Genomic DNA, 15,786 nt, shown 5'->3' with positions numbered 1-15,786 from the left:
AAGCCGGGGAGGGAGAGCATCAGGAAGAACAGCTAATGGATGCTGGGCTTAATACCTGGGTGATGGGTTGGTCTATGTAGCAAACCACCATAGCACACATTTACCCATGAAACAAACCTGCACATCCTGCACATGTACCCCAGAACTTAAAAGTTGAAGAGATATATATATATATAGATATATATATCTCCATGAGTACATGCAGATATAACTAAATGATTATATAAATAAATAAATGGAATAAAAGAGACAAATATCACCTGGACAAAATTTCAAATAAATTATATAGATACTTGTGATGGTTAATTTTATGTGTCAACTTATCTAGGCCACAGTGCCCAGATATTTGGCCAAACATTCTGGATGTTTCTGTGAAAATGCTTTTGGATGAGATTTACATTTAAATTGCTGGACTTTGAGTAAAGCAGATTGCCCTCAATAATGTAAGTAGATTTCATCTAATCAATTGAAGATCTGAATGGAACAAAAAGAGGGACCTCCTCTGAGCAAGAGGAAACTCAGTGGACTGCCTTTGCACTTCATCTGCAGCACTGGCTCTTCAAGGTTCTGCAGCAGATGGTCTTTGGACTCAAACTGCAACTCTTACTCCTTCCTGAGTCTCCAGCCTGCTGACCATGACTGATACCATAATCCACCCTCATGAATGGAGAGCATAACTCCCCAGTCCTTAAGTGTGGACTGAACCTTCCAAAGAGTGTAGTATGGAAAGGGGTGGGGAGGGAAAGAGTAACTTCACAGTGGAGAAACTTGACAAACACTACCTTAACCAAGTGATCAAGGTCAACATCAATAGTCAAGAATCATTTTGATAATATATGCCCTTGATATGATGTAATGAAAATAGCATTTTACATCTGTGATCTTCCTCCCAAAAACCAATAATCCCAGTCTAATTATTAGAAAAACATCAGACAAATTCTGATAGATGGACATTCTATAATATACCTGACCAGTATTGCTCAAAACTGTCAGGGTCATCAAATATGAGGAAAATCTGAGAAACTACCACAGCCAAGACGTGCCTAAAGAGACATGAGAATTCAATGTAACGTGGTGTTCTGGATGGGGATCCTATTACAGAAAAGAAAATGAGGTGAACACTAAGGAAACCTGAAAATTGTGAATTTTAATTAATAATATACCAATATTAGTTGATTAGTTGTAAGAAGTATACTATATTCATGTAAGATGTTAACAATAGGGGAGAGCATGTGTGCAGAGCAAGGGAAAAATGAGATCTCTTTGCATTATCTGCTCAATTTTTCTGTAAATATAAAACTGTTCTTAAAAATAACCTATTGGCCGGGCATGGTAGCTCACTCCTGTAATCCCAGCACGGGGAGGCTGAGGTGGGAGGATTGCTTGAAGCCAGGAATTCAAGAACAGCCTGGCAACATGGCAAGACCTTCTCTCTACAAAAATTCAAAAAATAAAAATAAAATTGGCCAAGTGTGGTAGTGGGCACCTTTGATCCCAGCTACTGGGAGGCTGAGGTGGAGGATTACTTGGAACCCAGGAGATCAAGGCTACTGTGAGCTGTGGTCACACTACTGAATTCCAGCCTGGAAAACAGAGTGAGATCCTATCTCAAAAATAATAATAATAATAACAATAATCTATTAATTTAAATAATTTAAATAATTCACATCCATAAAAAAATCATCATCACATTTTCATCACATGGTTTTAACTGATATGTGAAAAAAAGAGCAAATGTGTATAGAAAGTTCCGAAAGAAGCAAAGGTCGAAGAAGTCTAAAAGCAATGTAACCTTTTTCACAATTAAGCTTCTATTTTTTTCCATAGACAAATTAAAGATATATGAGTACATATACGAATTTTAGGACCAGGCACCGTGGCTCACGCCTATAATCCCAGCCCTTCAAGAAGCTGAGACAGCCACATCACTTAAGCTTAGGAGTTCAAGATCAGCCTGGGCAACATGGTGAAACTCCATCTCTACAAAAAATACAAAAATTAGCTGAGTGTAGTGGCGTGTGCTTGTAGTCTCAGCTACTCAGGAGGCAGAAATGGGAGGATCACTTGAGCCCGGGAGGTCGAGGCTGTAGTGAGCCATGTTCGCACTACTGCACTCTAGCCTGGGCAACAAAGTGAGACCCTGTCTCAAAAAAACAACAACAAAAGAATTTTATGTCCTATATATTTGTTTTTTTGTCTTTTGGGTTTTTTTGAGGCGGAATCTTGCTCCGTCGCCAGGTGGAGTGCAGTGGCACAACCTCGGCTCACTGCAACCTCTGCCTCCCGGGTTCAAGCGACTCTCCTGCCTCAGCCTCCCGAGTAGCTGGGATTACAGGTGTGTACCACCATGCCTAGCTAATTTTTGTGCTTTTAGTGGAGACGGGGTTTCACCATTTTGGCTAGGATGGTCTCGATCTGTTGACCTTGTGATCCACACGCCTCAGCCTCCCAAAGTGCTGGGATTACAGGTGTGAGCCACCATGCCCAGCATGTCCTAGATATTTGTACATTTGTAGCTTAAATTATTGTGAGACTCAACTTTTCAGTATGATCTACCTGGGAATCTTACTGGAAATATTGATTTGGGATCCTTACATAGTACATTCAGCAACTGAATTCTAGGCACATTAATTTTTACCTTCCACGGGCATATTTTTTTTCACACACTCCAATGTTGTATGAACCAGCTCTTTTGTAGTCTTTTTTTCAAGAAGCTGAGAATATTTTTGAAAGAAAACTGGAAAAGAGAATAAAGACCATTTATTTTCCTGGTAGCATTATGACTTTGCTCTTTATCGTTACTTTCTTGCATTCTTTATTGAAATAAAACTTACAAATGCCCTATTACTGGAGTAGAGGGAAAAGATTTCCCATACTGAAACTATAGATATCTCTAGGAATAGCTGAAAGATCAGTAGTTGGAAGAGGACACAACAGTTCCATCATAATGGATCTAAAGGGACTCCACATTCTCCTTCAATACTTAATATAAGATGCATGCAAAGGCTAACTCTTGGGGGTGGGGGGATGCAGGGCAATAAACACTTGTATTTAAGGATGTGCGCACCCTGGGACTTTGGAGCAGATGGGAGAGGGGCAAATTAATTCTGAGGAGTTCTGGGTTACCTTGAAGAATGGAGAATTTTAAAAAGAACCCCACATGGATCAAGAGGGCATTATTTTCTTCCTCTTCTCTCCATTACTCTCTCCATCCCAACTGGCTCTTACTCCTCAGCACACCAACGCTCTCATGTTTCTCCCAGTTTAAAACTAACCCACCTCTCCCTCTAGAAACTGAACTTTTGGCCGGGCACATTGGCTCACGCCTGTAATCCCAGCACTTTGGGAGGTCGAGGCAGGTCAGGAGTTCGAGACTAGCCTGGCCAAGATGGTGAAACCTCGTCTCTACTCAAAGTACAAAAATCAGCTGGGCGCAGCGGCAGGTGCCTGTAATCCCAGCTACTCGGGAAGCTGAGGAAGGAGAATTGCTTGAACCTGGGAGGCGGAGGTTGCGGTGAGCTGAGATTGCGCCACTGCACTCCAGCCTGGGTGACGGAGCAAGACTCCATCTCAAAAAAAAAAAAAAAAGAAATTGAACTTTTTGTCTTTCCTCCCTACCTTTCATTTGCTCCTTGACCCATCATAGTCTGGGTTTTACTTCCACTATTTCACTAAAACCATCCCTAAAGTGGATCCTCAGTAATATCCTAGGGTTACTTAGTCCTCTTCCTATTTGACTTCCTTAAAGGCTTGACCCCAGTTGCCTTTCCCCTTAGCTCTTGGGACACTACTCTTTGTTGTTTTTGTCTTACCTTTCTTGCTGCTGCTTCTTACACTCTTTGATGAGCTCCGTTTCCTCCATCCACCTCTTTTAAAATGTAACATTTCCCAGAGTTCCATCCTTATCCGTCTTTCTCATACTAAGTTATCTCCGTGAGTGATATCATATATTCCCACGGCATCACCTGCTACCTCTATGTGAAGGACTTCCAAAGCTCAGACCTCTCTCCCTAAATCCAGACAAATGTGTCTCCCAGTAGACACATCCATTTGAGGTTCTCACAGCCATATAAAACTCAACATGCCCAAAACTTAAATCACCATCTTCCAACCCAAACCTGCTACTGATCCTATATTGTCTACCTCTTTGAAAAACTTAATGATTTCTGAGTTTACAAAGTCAGAATATTGGAGCCATACTTTACTTCTCTGGGTCCCTTATTTCCCAGAACTGAATATTCATCAAGCCTCTACCTCCTTTATCATTCAAAATTACTTCATCTTCTCTTTTTTCGCTAACACTAGCCATAGATCAGTCTGACAATATTTCTCAATTGAATTAATGAATTATCCTTCTAACCTCTCTTTCCCTCCAAATTTGTCCTCATTTATCCATTTTCCACACCTCTGTAAAAATCATGTTTCTATAAGTCCAATCCAATTATATCAATTCCCTGCTTAAAATTCTTCAATTTTCTCTATGACTGTGACATTGCAAAAATGGCCACAACTTTCAACATACCCTGTATCTACACTGCTTTGCAATGTGATTTTGCAGCTTCTTCAATCAAGAAATGTGGTCTATTTCTCCACCGCCTGGATCTGGGCTGCCTGTAAGACTTCTTTTGGCCAATAGAATGTGCAGGAGCAACTCTGCGCTAGTTCCAAGGTGAGATTTCAAAAGGCCTTGCTTACTTCCGCTCTCAGTCTTAAAAGCCTGCCAGTTGCCATGTGAACAAACCCAGGCTACCCTGATGAATGATAAGAGAAACGTGGCCAAATCTCTCCTGCCATTCCATCTAACATCCTGTTCCTCAGAAGCTAAGTTGCCTGTGGCCAGTACCCAACCACATATACATGAGTGAGTTCAGCCAGGACTGGGGAAATCTCCCAACTGACACCAGTCTCAATTGCCAAGACACAGATTTATGAGCTAAATAAATAGTTGCTGTTTTAATCCACTAAGTTTTAGATTGGCTTATTAACCAGCAAAAGATAATTGATAAAATAACCTTTAGGAGGGAAAAAATCCAAACTCTTTATCATGATATACAGCAGTCTTCATGATCTGAGTCCTGTTTCTTTCTGCCACCTACAACTTCATTTCTTAGTTCTTTACTTAGCACCATATGTTCCAGTCATGCATACTTACGTTTCCCCAAATTCCATGCTCTCTCATATCTCTAGGTCATTCTTGGTACACACAGCTCTAGATGTCACCTCCTCCGGAAAGCCTACCTCAGCCTCTTGCACTTATTATACTTCTTAACTGTACAACACTTACCATACAATGTTATAACCACTGGTTCATTTTATCATTCTCTAAATTTCTTGAGACCAGGGGCTGTGGCTCTGTCTTGACTCTCTGTCTGGCACAGTGCCTGACATACAGTAGATGGACAATACTTATGAAATGACCAAAGAAATTAATAAAGAATCTACCTAAATGTATACTGCTTTTTATGCCTTTTAAAAATTTTGAGCCAGGCGTAGTGACTCATGCCTGTAATCCCAGCACGTTAGGAGGCTGAGGTAGGCAGACTGCTTGAGCCCAGGAGTTCAGGACAAGGCCAGGAAACATGAGAAAACCCTGTCTCTACTAAAAATACAAAAAAAAAAAAAAAAAAAATTAGCTGAGCATAGTGATGCACACCTGTAATCCCAGCTACTTGGGAGGCTGGGGTGGGAGAATCGCTTGAACCTGGGAGGTGGAGGTTGCAGTGAGCCAAGATTGCACCAATGCACTCCAGCCTGGGTGACAGAACCAGGGGGAATAAAACTCAACAAATGCTGAAAGCCAAAGATACGCAGCAATCCACCTAATTTGCAAAATTGACTTTTAGATCCCACACAGTCTTGAGCAGGGCAGGAATAATCAGAGTAAAAGCCAGTGGAGAACTCTTCCTGAAATATTTCTTCCCATCTCCTTGTTGTCTACCTGCTCATCCCAAAACATAAATGTCTGTGCATTCAAATCAGACTGGCCTGATAAATGCTACCAAGGAAACATAGATTTGTCCTCACTTACATAGTGTCTAGTATAGAGATGATGCCCCATAGATTTCACTCTACAACACAAATACATACACCCACATTTATGCTTCAGTTTCTCTAAATGAGAAGGGATTCCATTATTTTTACAGGACAGTAACTAAATCCAAATAAAGAGCAAAATTCACAGTGGATTCCCATGAATTATGTCTCCCCAGAGAAAATTTCATTTCAGATTTCTGGATAAGCTCATTTTCAAAAGTCAGTTTTTAAAGGATACCCTCTGTTCATGGACAGCAGATATTGCTTATTGGTTCAGTTGGCATACTTACTGACAAAAGCAATAAAGAATGAGATTGCCAATAGCAGGAAAAATATCAACAGTGAGGCACAAAGCAGCTTGGGGAATCCGGTATTACTTTTGTGAGGGGCAGTCCTCTCCTTGGAAGCTGAAGAAGAAGCCAAATTAGTTTTATCAGTAATAAGTTTGGTCTTTACTTCCTCTTCTTCCTCCTCCTCTTTCTCTCTCTTTTCTTGGATGACACACAGTTACTAACGGTATGACATTTGAAATCACATGAGAATAGGAATAGAAAGGATATAATAATATTCACTGTAGAAACTTTAAAAAATACATAAAAGTACGAATTCCTACAATTGAGGATAACTGTTATGCCATATAACTTATAATATACCATAATATTTTGGTATATATCTTTCTAGCAATTTTTTGAATGTATATATACACATATGCAAATTTTCCCACGATTGACATACCATAAATACTGATTTCTGACCTATTATTTTCCTTTACACTATATCATGAACATTTTTCATACCATTATATTTTCTTCTTTAACACTCCTTATTATGGTTGCATAGTATTTCATCATATATTTAAATAATGGTTTCCAACTTTAAATAATGCTATAGCAAATAAATCTTTATAATCATTCCTCATCACATGTTTAGAATAAAGTCAGTCTTTTTAGTTACCATCTCATGGTTAGGAATCACTTTCTTCGAGTTATGATATTTTGTCAAATGATGGGGGAAAAAAATTCAGTATTATATAATATGATTACATTTTTAGTAAAATACATATGCACATTATATGTATTTGTATGTGGAAGGATATTCACTAAATTGCAAATTATGATTTTCTCTAGATGATAAGAGTAATTATAATTCAAATATCTGTGTACCTCTGGTTAATTTTTTCTACAATGAACATTAATACTTGTGTAATAAAGAAATTATATAAAGTTTTTAAGGAGAAAAAATTTCCCTAAGTGCTCTCCACACCTTCACAGAGGTATTTTAGAAAGCGTAACTATAGTCCTGACCCCTTCCCCCATAGTTTCTTGTACTCTATATACATTCTTTTCTCTCTTTTGCTCTATACTTGAGATATCACACATGACACCCAAATCACCTTGCATCTACTCCCAAACGTAACAGAGTCTGTCTCAGAGATGCAACACGCAATAGGTTCTCTGATTTCAGAAAAAGTTTCCTGGAGATTTAAGAGACTTTCTTTGTAGACTTTCTAGTCTTTCATTTGCAAAGGCCTTTTGTTACATTTCCATCCATTACCAACAAATATACCCTCACCACTGTCCACCCAAACTCTTTCCCTCTAACTGATCAAAAAACAAATCTCACAAATTCATCAGGACCCCCTGCATCTGGATTGATGGTTTCAGAAGCTGTACTCAATCTCTTAACCCCAGCCCCACTCAGCCTCAGAAAACACAGGGGCATCAGAGCACTCGCCTTAGCTCAGAACTGGAGTGGATTTCTCTCACCTCTGTTTCAGTAAGCAGAGTGGAGGCTGAAGAGAGTGGCACAAAATCTTTTCTTCTCCACAATACAAATGTACACCCCGTAATGCGTATCTGCAGGCCACTCAATCTTCTGGGACTCTTGTGTTTCCCAGACATACTCAATCAGACAACCAGCAACTGAAAACACCTATGCCTTATTCATAAACCCTCTCCTCATCCTTCACCTCGTCATTCACTCTGACCCCTAGAAAATGATCTTTACCTGCAGAAGAGGCTGTGTTGATGCCTGAGGACTTGAATTCATTTTTGAACCTCACTTCAGCATAAGTGATTTCCGAAGTCATAATGGGAAGAGAGCTTCTGCTTTCTTCAGAAAATCTGTTTCAGATCTTTCTTAAAACATCTTATAAACAGGAACCAAACATGGTGGTAAATTACCTCCTTCCTTTCACTCAACTAGTGGAGAGCAGAGGCACCAGATAGGCACATATCCTCAAGAGGGGTCTCATGAGAACTAAGAACCACAATAAAAACTAAAAACCGCAGTTCACAGAAGCCCTTTCCTCAGGACCAGTATAGTGAGAATCACAGCCTTGAAACAAATGCAAGCAAATGCAATAAAAGTGGGAACTCAAAGGGTTGCGGAAAGAGGAAGAAAAATAAAAGAAGAACCAAGCACTTAGAGTCTTTCTGGAGAACTGCGTTTTTCACCAGTAAAAAATACAATTTCTGTGCTTCCACACACAAATGTAATTACTTTTGACCAAACATCCTGAACATAGACTTATGTTGCATTCATCTCATCAATTTTGACTGATCAGGCAACTTGTTAGTACCACATTCTAAGAGTATCATTGACACAAAACTCACATATCAGCCTCCCCACCTTCACGAATTAGTTTCCTGTAGCATGGTGGGGATGGCAAAGTTTAAACCCCATGTCTTCTGAAGCTGTTCCTCCATGCTCTCTGTGTTTCCTTGTTGGTAACTAACTCTATCAAAAGTCTGCATTCATCTTGCTAGAATCTCCAGAAAGCAGCTCCCTTTACTGGATGTTGGAGGAGAGGGAAGGCCAGCCTTTATTCCATGCTTCCCTAACCTTTTAATCGCCACATCACCTCCAATATATATGACTATTTTTTAACAGTTAGGAGAATTATATAGAATCACAGTATAGAAGGGGATAAACTTAAACAAAGTACTAAATATGACTTTTTCCAAAGGCCTAGAAGAAAACACTCCAAATATTAAATCCTTCATGTGGAATCTCTCCATAGACATGCTCCCAGCTCACACCTGGATTCTCTGCCCTCAACTCTCCGCAAATGATCCTCCTTTTAATCTCCCCCAGCTGATTCCTTCTCCTGCATAACACACATGCATACATGCATGCACACACACACAAACACACACGTCTATATTTCTATATTATTTCTATATCTAAATATATTGAACACCATGAGTTCACACTAATTCCTCTAATTCCAATCTAACACCACAAGTTTCATTCTAGTTTTCTCCCTTCCCACATTCCTAACTCCTTTCTGTGACACTAAGAAACCTGCTTTCATTGTCTTTCACTTATTCCTTATTTGATCAATCTCCTGGATGTCGTCAATCTCCCACCTGCTAAGATGTCCCTCTCTTCCTAGTTGGGCTCTGACTCCCCAGTCCAAGCCACCATCCCCTGCGCGGATGCCCTCCCTCCTCACTCTGAGAGTGCCGGCAAAGGGCCAGCCCACTCCCCACCCCCATGAACATCCCCCAACAAACATCCCCCTCACCCTGCCAAGGCTCTGACTCCCTGTGCTAGGCCATTCCTCTGCAGGAAAGCCCTCCTCACTCTGCTTGCACTCTGATTCCTGATGCTGGTCCCCTAGTCACCACTTAGACCCCCTTAGGTTCTAATGCTCCACACAAGGTCACCCTATGGGTGGAAGCCCTCCTCACCCTGGAGGGGTCTGATTTCCTCACCGGGCTATCCTACCACATGGACCACCTCCTTATCCTGCTAAGTTTCTGAAACCCACACCAAGTCCTCCCTCTGCATAGAAGCTTTCTTCATCCTGCTTGGGCTCTGACACTCCATGCAGGTCCTCCATCCCCCAGCAATAATGTCCATCTTACCCTACTTAGGATCTGAGTTCCCTCACTGGGCTACCCCACCACATGGACACCCTCCTTATCATGCTTGGTCTCTGAAACCACACCAGGTCTACCCTCTGCAAGGATGCTCTCTCTCCTCATCCTGCTTAAGTGCTGAGTCCCAACCCCAACTGGGCCAACACTAGGCATGGGTGCCCTCCTCACCTCTCCCACATGCTGACATACATACCAGGCTGGCCCTAGAGTACTCTGCTCAGCCATTTGCGACTCTGACTCCCTATAGAAGGTAACCTCATACATGGATGCCCTCCTCACCCTGCTTGCACTCCAACTCACTGCACCTGACTATCCCACCACATAGATGCCTTCTTTACCTCTCAGACTCTGACCTCTCACATCAGGCTACCCCTACTATGGACACCCTCCTCAATCTTATCCTCTGACACCCTGCACTGGGCCATTGCCAGGAGTGGACATCTCCTCGCTCTGGTTCCCCATGCCAGGACACTTTCCCACCCCTAAGGGATGTTCTTCTCACTCTGCTTGGGCTCCAGAACCACTGTCAAGCCAATACCCTGCATAGTCACCCTTCTCACCCTGCTAAAGCTCTCCCCCTGTGCCAGGCCACTGCTGCTCTCCCAGCCACCTCACCATAGACACCTATCTTGCTACTGCTTTATTTAGAATCAAATTATTTAGTAAGAAAAGGGAAAGGGGAATGACAAAGCATAAGGGAAGGATAAGGGAATTTTAAGTTCTCCACAAATTAATGATTGGGCCTAACCAGCACATGCACGTAGACAGGTATACATGCACACATATTCCCTGAAATAACAATCATTGATTCTCAGAGTCTTTACAATCTAAGCTCATAATTAGAAAGCAAACCATATTCCTAAAACTATAGCTCTCTCCCTGGAATAAGTCACATTATAACTGGATTACACCGTATCACCAACAACCCCAAAATCCAAGTGGCTTACAACAACAAACATGTATTTCTCACTTACATTACACTTGTGCTTAGGGCCACCTTGGAGTTGACTGCAACTCTGCTTGGCCCCTCTCCAAGTGTTTTCTCATTCTGGAAGCTGAGATCACAGAATAGCTCCTTGTAAGCTGAACCATGTAGTAGCATCCTTTATTCAGATAAGGTGTACGTTGTATTTGCTCTGATTCTGTTGGCCAATGCAAGTTACCTGAACAAACCTGCAAGTGAGACAGGGAAATATACTTTGTCTACAGAAAGACATGTCAAGGGTATCAAAGTTTAATCCTTTCACAAAGGAGAACACAGACATTTGGAAACAATAATAGAATCTATCCCCTTATCCCTTTAAATTATTTATCCAAGAGATCTCTTGGGCAGTGATCTCCAAAATGGGGCACAAGTACCTTAGGCAGTATAAAAGAGGATCTGCTAAGGCACAGAGAAAAAAACACTAAAACATCTATTTACATTTATTTAAAGTTTTAAGGAAGATAAGCTTTACTAGTATTGATTGCATGTCATGTGTGGTATGGTACCTATTATGAGGGAAGACTGGAAGTTCCACAACTCTGAGAGGCTGACAGTGTGCCTTCACTTGTTCGTTCACTCTCTGAATATTGCATCATGTTGCAGTTAACCTAGGTAATAAAGAATTTGCCTGGATTTTGTTCCCACTTCCTGGAGGTAGCCTTTAAATCCTTGGAATTTTCCAAATAATAGGATTGTCTTTGTTATTCATGGTGGGCCCGTATATCTCATGCTAATGAGGTCTCTCATGATGGGCTCTAAGATAGTTTATGCTAAGAAGGTGATTCAGGGTGGGGCTGGCCATGCCGGAAAGACCAGTCATGTGATTGGCGCATTGAAGCCCTGAGCCATGTTATATCAGCCCAGGTGGGGAAGGGAAGCTAGAGACTGAGTTCAACTTGTGACCAATGGTTCAATCAATCATGCCTACATAATGGACCCCAGTAAAAACTCTGGGCACTGAAGCTCCCCTGATTGGCAATACTCTGTGTATTATCACACATTAAAGTTCTAAGAAAGTGATATATCAATGGGGTCAATGGAAATTTCCATTTAGGACCCTCTCAGTCCTTACCCCATGCATCTCTCCCTCTGGCTGGTTCTGATTTGTATCCTTTTGCTATAATAAAACTGCAATCATAAGCATGGCACTATCCTGAGTTCAGTGAGTCATTCTAATAAATCATAAAACCTGAAGGGATCATGGGAAACCCCAAATTTGTAGTCAGTTGATCAGGAGTGAGGACACCCCTGGGAACCCCTGAACTTGTGGCTGGTATCTGAAGTAATGGCAGTCTTATGAAGGGCGTGCCCTCAACCTGTGAAATTTGGCCTAAGTCCAGGTAGTTGATATCAGAAGTCAATTTAATAGCTCAGTATTGTTAATTTCATGAAAACAAGATATTCGTTAGACTATTTATATTGATATGATGGCAAGTGACCATTCTGTTCACTGTGAAATTAATCTCAGTATTTAGAAGTAAGGATGGAGTAAATAGGGCACTTTTATTTTTAAAGATTTTTTACTGTTTGATATTTTATAAGCATGTATTTCTTTCATAATAAAAAGACACAGGCTAGGCATGGTAGCTCATGCCTGTAATCCCAGCACTTTGGGAGGCCAAGGCGGGTGGATCACCTAAGGTCAGGGGATCGAGACCAGCCTGACCAACATGGTGAAACCCCATCACTACTAAAAATACAAAATTAGCCAGGCGTGGTGGTGCATGCCTATAAGCCCAGACACTAGGGAGGCTGAGGCAGGAGAACCACTTGAACCTGGGAGGCAGAAGTTGCAGTGAACTGAGATCGCACCATTGCACTCCAGCCTGGGCAACAGTAGCGAAGCTCTGTCTCAGAAAACAAAAGCAAACAAATAAAAAATCTATCTTATTTTCACCAAAGATGAGACTAAGACCATTTTTGCAGCAAGGCTAGCTAATTCAGCTGGTATTAGCTTAGTGTTTTTGAGGTTCATCCATGTTATAGCTCATATCAGTTTCTCAGTCCATTAGTGTTGTTAACAACAAAATACCTGAGACTGGGTAATTTATAAAGAAGAGAAATTTATTTTCTCAGTTCTGGAGGTTGGGAAGCCCAAGATCAAGGCACCAGCATATTCAGTTATCTGGTGATGATTGTATCTTCTAAGGGGAGGAACTCCATGTCTTCACATGGCAGAAGGCAGATGGGCAAGAGATAGACCAGCAATGCATGATGCCTTTTTTATAGGAGCCTTAATTCCATCCACAAAGCCCTCATGGCCTAACCACCTCTAAAAGGGCCCACCTCTTAATATCATCACACTGGCAATACCTGGGTTTTGGATGATGATGTGGTTTGGATCTGTGTGCCCACCAAATCTCACATCAAATTATAATCCTCAGTGTTGGAGGTGGGCCTGGTAGGAGGTGACTGGATCATGGGGGTAGATTTCCCCCTTGGTAGTGTCCTCGCCATAGTGAGTTCTCGTGAGATCTGGTTGCTTAAAAGTGTGTGGCACCTCACCCCTCTCTCTCTTCCTCCTGCTCTGGTCGTGTGAAGTGCCTTGCTCCCACTTTGCCTTCCACCATGATTGGAAGCTTCCTGAAGTGTCCTCAAAAAGCAGAAGCTGCTATGCTTCCTGTATAGCCTGCAGAACTGTAAGCCAATTAAAGCTCTTTTTCTTTATGAATTACCTAGTCTCAGGTTTTTTTTTTTTTTATAGCAGTGCAAGAATAGACTAATACAGAGAGGGACACATTTAAACCACAGCAATCAGTAATTCATTCTTTTTTATGGACAAATAATATTCCATTGTATGTTGAATCTCAACCTGACAATGTAAATTATTAGCTTATCTTCACAGGTAGAAGACAAGAACAAGACCAGAAATCATCCCTCTGTCTACTCCCAGATGAATGCATAAATGACTTTTCTTTTACCCCCACTTTTCACATGTAAAATGTAGATTCATTGAGTGCTAACCAGAGCCTCACAAGAAAGTAACCACTTGCCTCCTTGTCTACTCTCCCTTGCCTTTTTTTTTCCCCTTTCCTCCTTCCCCTCCTGCTTGCTCTTTTCCCTTAAAATACTGAGGTCCTCAAAACCTTCTTTGGAAAAAGCACCAATCACAGATGCTCCTGTGATTTGTGTTTTGTTCCTGGGCATGCCCTCAACCTTGGCAAAATAAACCTGTAAATCAATTGAGACCTGCCTCAGTCACTTTTTGGTTTACGCAAGTAATGGTTGTCATTCTTTTTGGCATCTAATTCTCCTTATGTTTGAAGAATATTCCCACTTTATGAAACAGAGCTCTTCATATTCTACAACAGCTGCAAATCCAGGCATTTGCTTTCAGAAATTGTACCATAAATACTTGAAAGCTATAGAAGTGAAATAGAGGAAACTTGAGATTTATTATCCAATCTGGTTGAAGCTGAGAAAAGAGAAAGCACGACTAGTATTAACAGATGGGACTTGGTAGTCCTTGCCATGCAATGACAAAATAGGCAAATTGAAACACATTGTCACCTAAAAAAAAAGTTCCCATTGGAGACAAGCCTTTAAGAGCCCAAGCAGGCTGGGTGCGGTGGCTCACACCTGTAATCCCAGCACCTTGGGAGGCCAAGGCAGGTGGATCACCTGAGGTCAGGAATTTGAGACCAGCATGGCTAACTTGGTGAAATCCCATCTCTACTAAAAATACAAAAATTAGCCAGGTGTGGTGATGAGCACCTGTAATCCCAGTTACTCAAGAGGCTGAAGCAGGAGAATCACTTGAACCCAGGAGGCAGAGGTTGCAGTGAGCCGAGATCGTGCCACTGCACTCCAGCCTGCGCAACAGAGAGATTCCACTTCAAAAAAAACAAAAACAAAAAAAAAAAGAAGAGCCCAAGCAACCCCAAGGGAAAGAATTTAAGAAGTGTAGAGTAGAATAGTTGCTTCTTATGGCACTGGATAACCCAAAGGAAGAGAGTAACAAACTCAATATATCCTAAATTCTTGACCCAAGGAAAAAACTGAAAACTAGAATTTCTATAACTATATTAAAAGAATTCTTTATTGCTTGTAGCTGCAGGCTGAAGAGACCAAAAGCCAAAGTTTTAGTTGGACTCGATGGTTAAAAATTGCAAATCCAGTTGAATTCAAGCTTTGCTATGTCTCCTAAGTGAAAACGAGAGGCTTGATTGTGATAAAATGTGATCTCAAGAACTGATAAAGAAATATATGGAGGATACCCATATATTGCCCAAAGCATCACAAACACTCCAAGTCCAAGAAGTTTCCTATCCCCACAAAAGCAGCAGGTATAGTGAGAGCCTGAAGTCACCCTCCGGTTATTTCCCAAATTCCTGTTGTCCAGAATCCCCACACTGTCTCCCTGACCTGTGAAGTAAGGTCCATTATGATGGAAAACCAAATTGAAGCTCCTGAACTTCCCCTTCCTAGCAAAATAAAATCAAAAGCAGTAAAGCATCTATAATGAAATCACAAAGATTAGTACCACTAGCAAAGGATTCAAAACTGAAGCATAAGCAATTCCTATTATATTCTTGATTTAAATCACTCATCTTGCCAATACAGATGGGTCATAAACAATGGGAGTAGATGATCATACATTTAATCAGGAGGTGACTCCAATTTTAGCTGCTTTCCAAATGCGAGGTCTAGAGCAAGTCAATACAGTACTCGGCCCTTAATGTATACCTATTAACGGCCAGGTACGATGACTCACGCCTGAAATCCTCACACTTTGGGAAGCCAAGGCAGAAGGATCGCTTGAGTCCAGATCTTTGAGACCAGCCTGGGCAACATAGTGAAACCCCACTTCTACAAAAATAAAAAATAAAAATTAGACCGGGTGCGGTGGCTCACACCTGTAATCCTAGCACTCTGGGAGGC

At 41.3% G+C, this 15,786-nt stretch overlaps 1 protein-coding gene across 6 annotated transcripts in view, besides 1 other annotated feature; it reads right to left on the bottom strand.

Moving 5' to 3' along the window:
• CLEC4A (C-type lectin domain family 4 member A) overlaps positions 1-15,786 on the bottom strand; it is a 35,701-nt gene that overhangs the window by 6,607 nt on the left and 13,308 nt on the right. Inside the window, exons 2-4 of one of the 6 annotated variants that reach the window (XM_017019382.3) lie at positions 10,895-11,093; positions 6,324-6,440; positions 2,639-2,737 (exon numbers count right to left, since the gene is read on the bottom strand). In XM_017019382.3, coding sequence (XP_016874871.1) covers positions 2,639-2,651 — 13 coding nt within the window. In that variant the 5' untranslated portion in view covers positions 2,652-2,737; positions 6,324-6,440; positions 10,895-11,093. Of the gene's footprint in view, positions 1-2,638; positions 2,738-3,812; positions 5,525-6,323; positions 6,441-8,040; positions 8,385-10,894; positions 11,094-15,786 lie in introns of those variants that run through there. The other 5 variants (NM_016184.4, NM_194450.3, NM_194447.3 and 2 more) reach the window with 5 other exon arrangements.
• Positions 8,465-8,514: an enhancer, noted in NCBI's record as "active region_5929". NCBI's record gives its function as "activates an Ori minimal core promoter by ATAC-STARR-seq in GM12878 lymphoblastoid cells {active_cell/tissue: GM12878}" and the evidence as "EXISTENCE:reporter gene assay evidence [ECO:0000049][PMID:35858748]".

This window comes from Homo sapiens, chromosome 12 (assembly GCF_000001405.40).
Source record: "Homo sapiens chromosome 12, GRCh38.p14 Primary Assembly".
In the NCBI taxonomy this organism is placed as follows: domain Eukaryota; kingdom Metazoa; phylum Chordata; class Mammalia; order Primates; family Hominidae; genus Homo; species Homo sapiens.
This window is presented reverse-complemented; position numbering and strand designations above follow the sequence as displayed.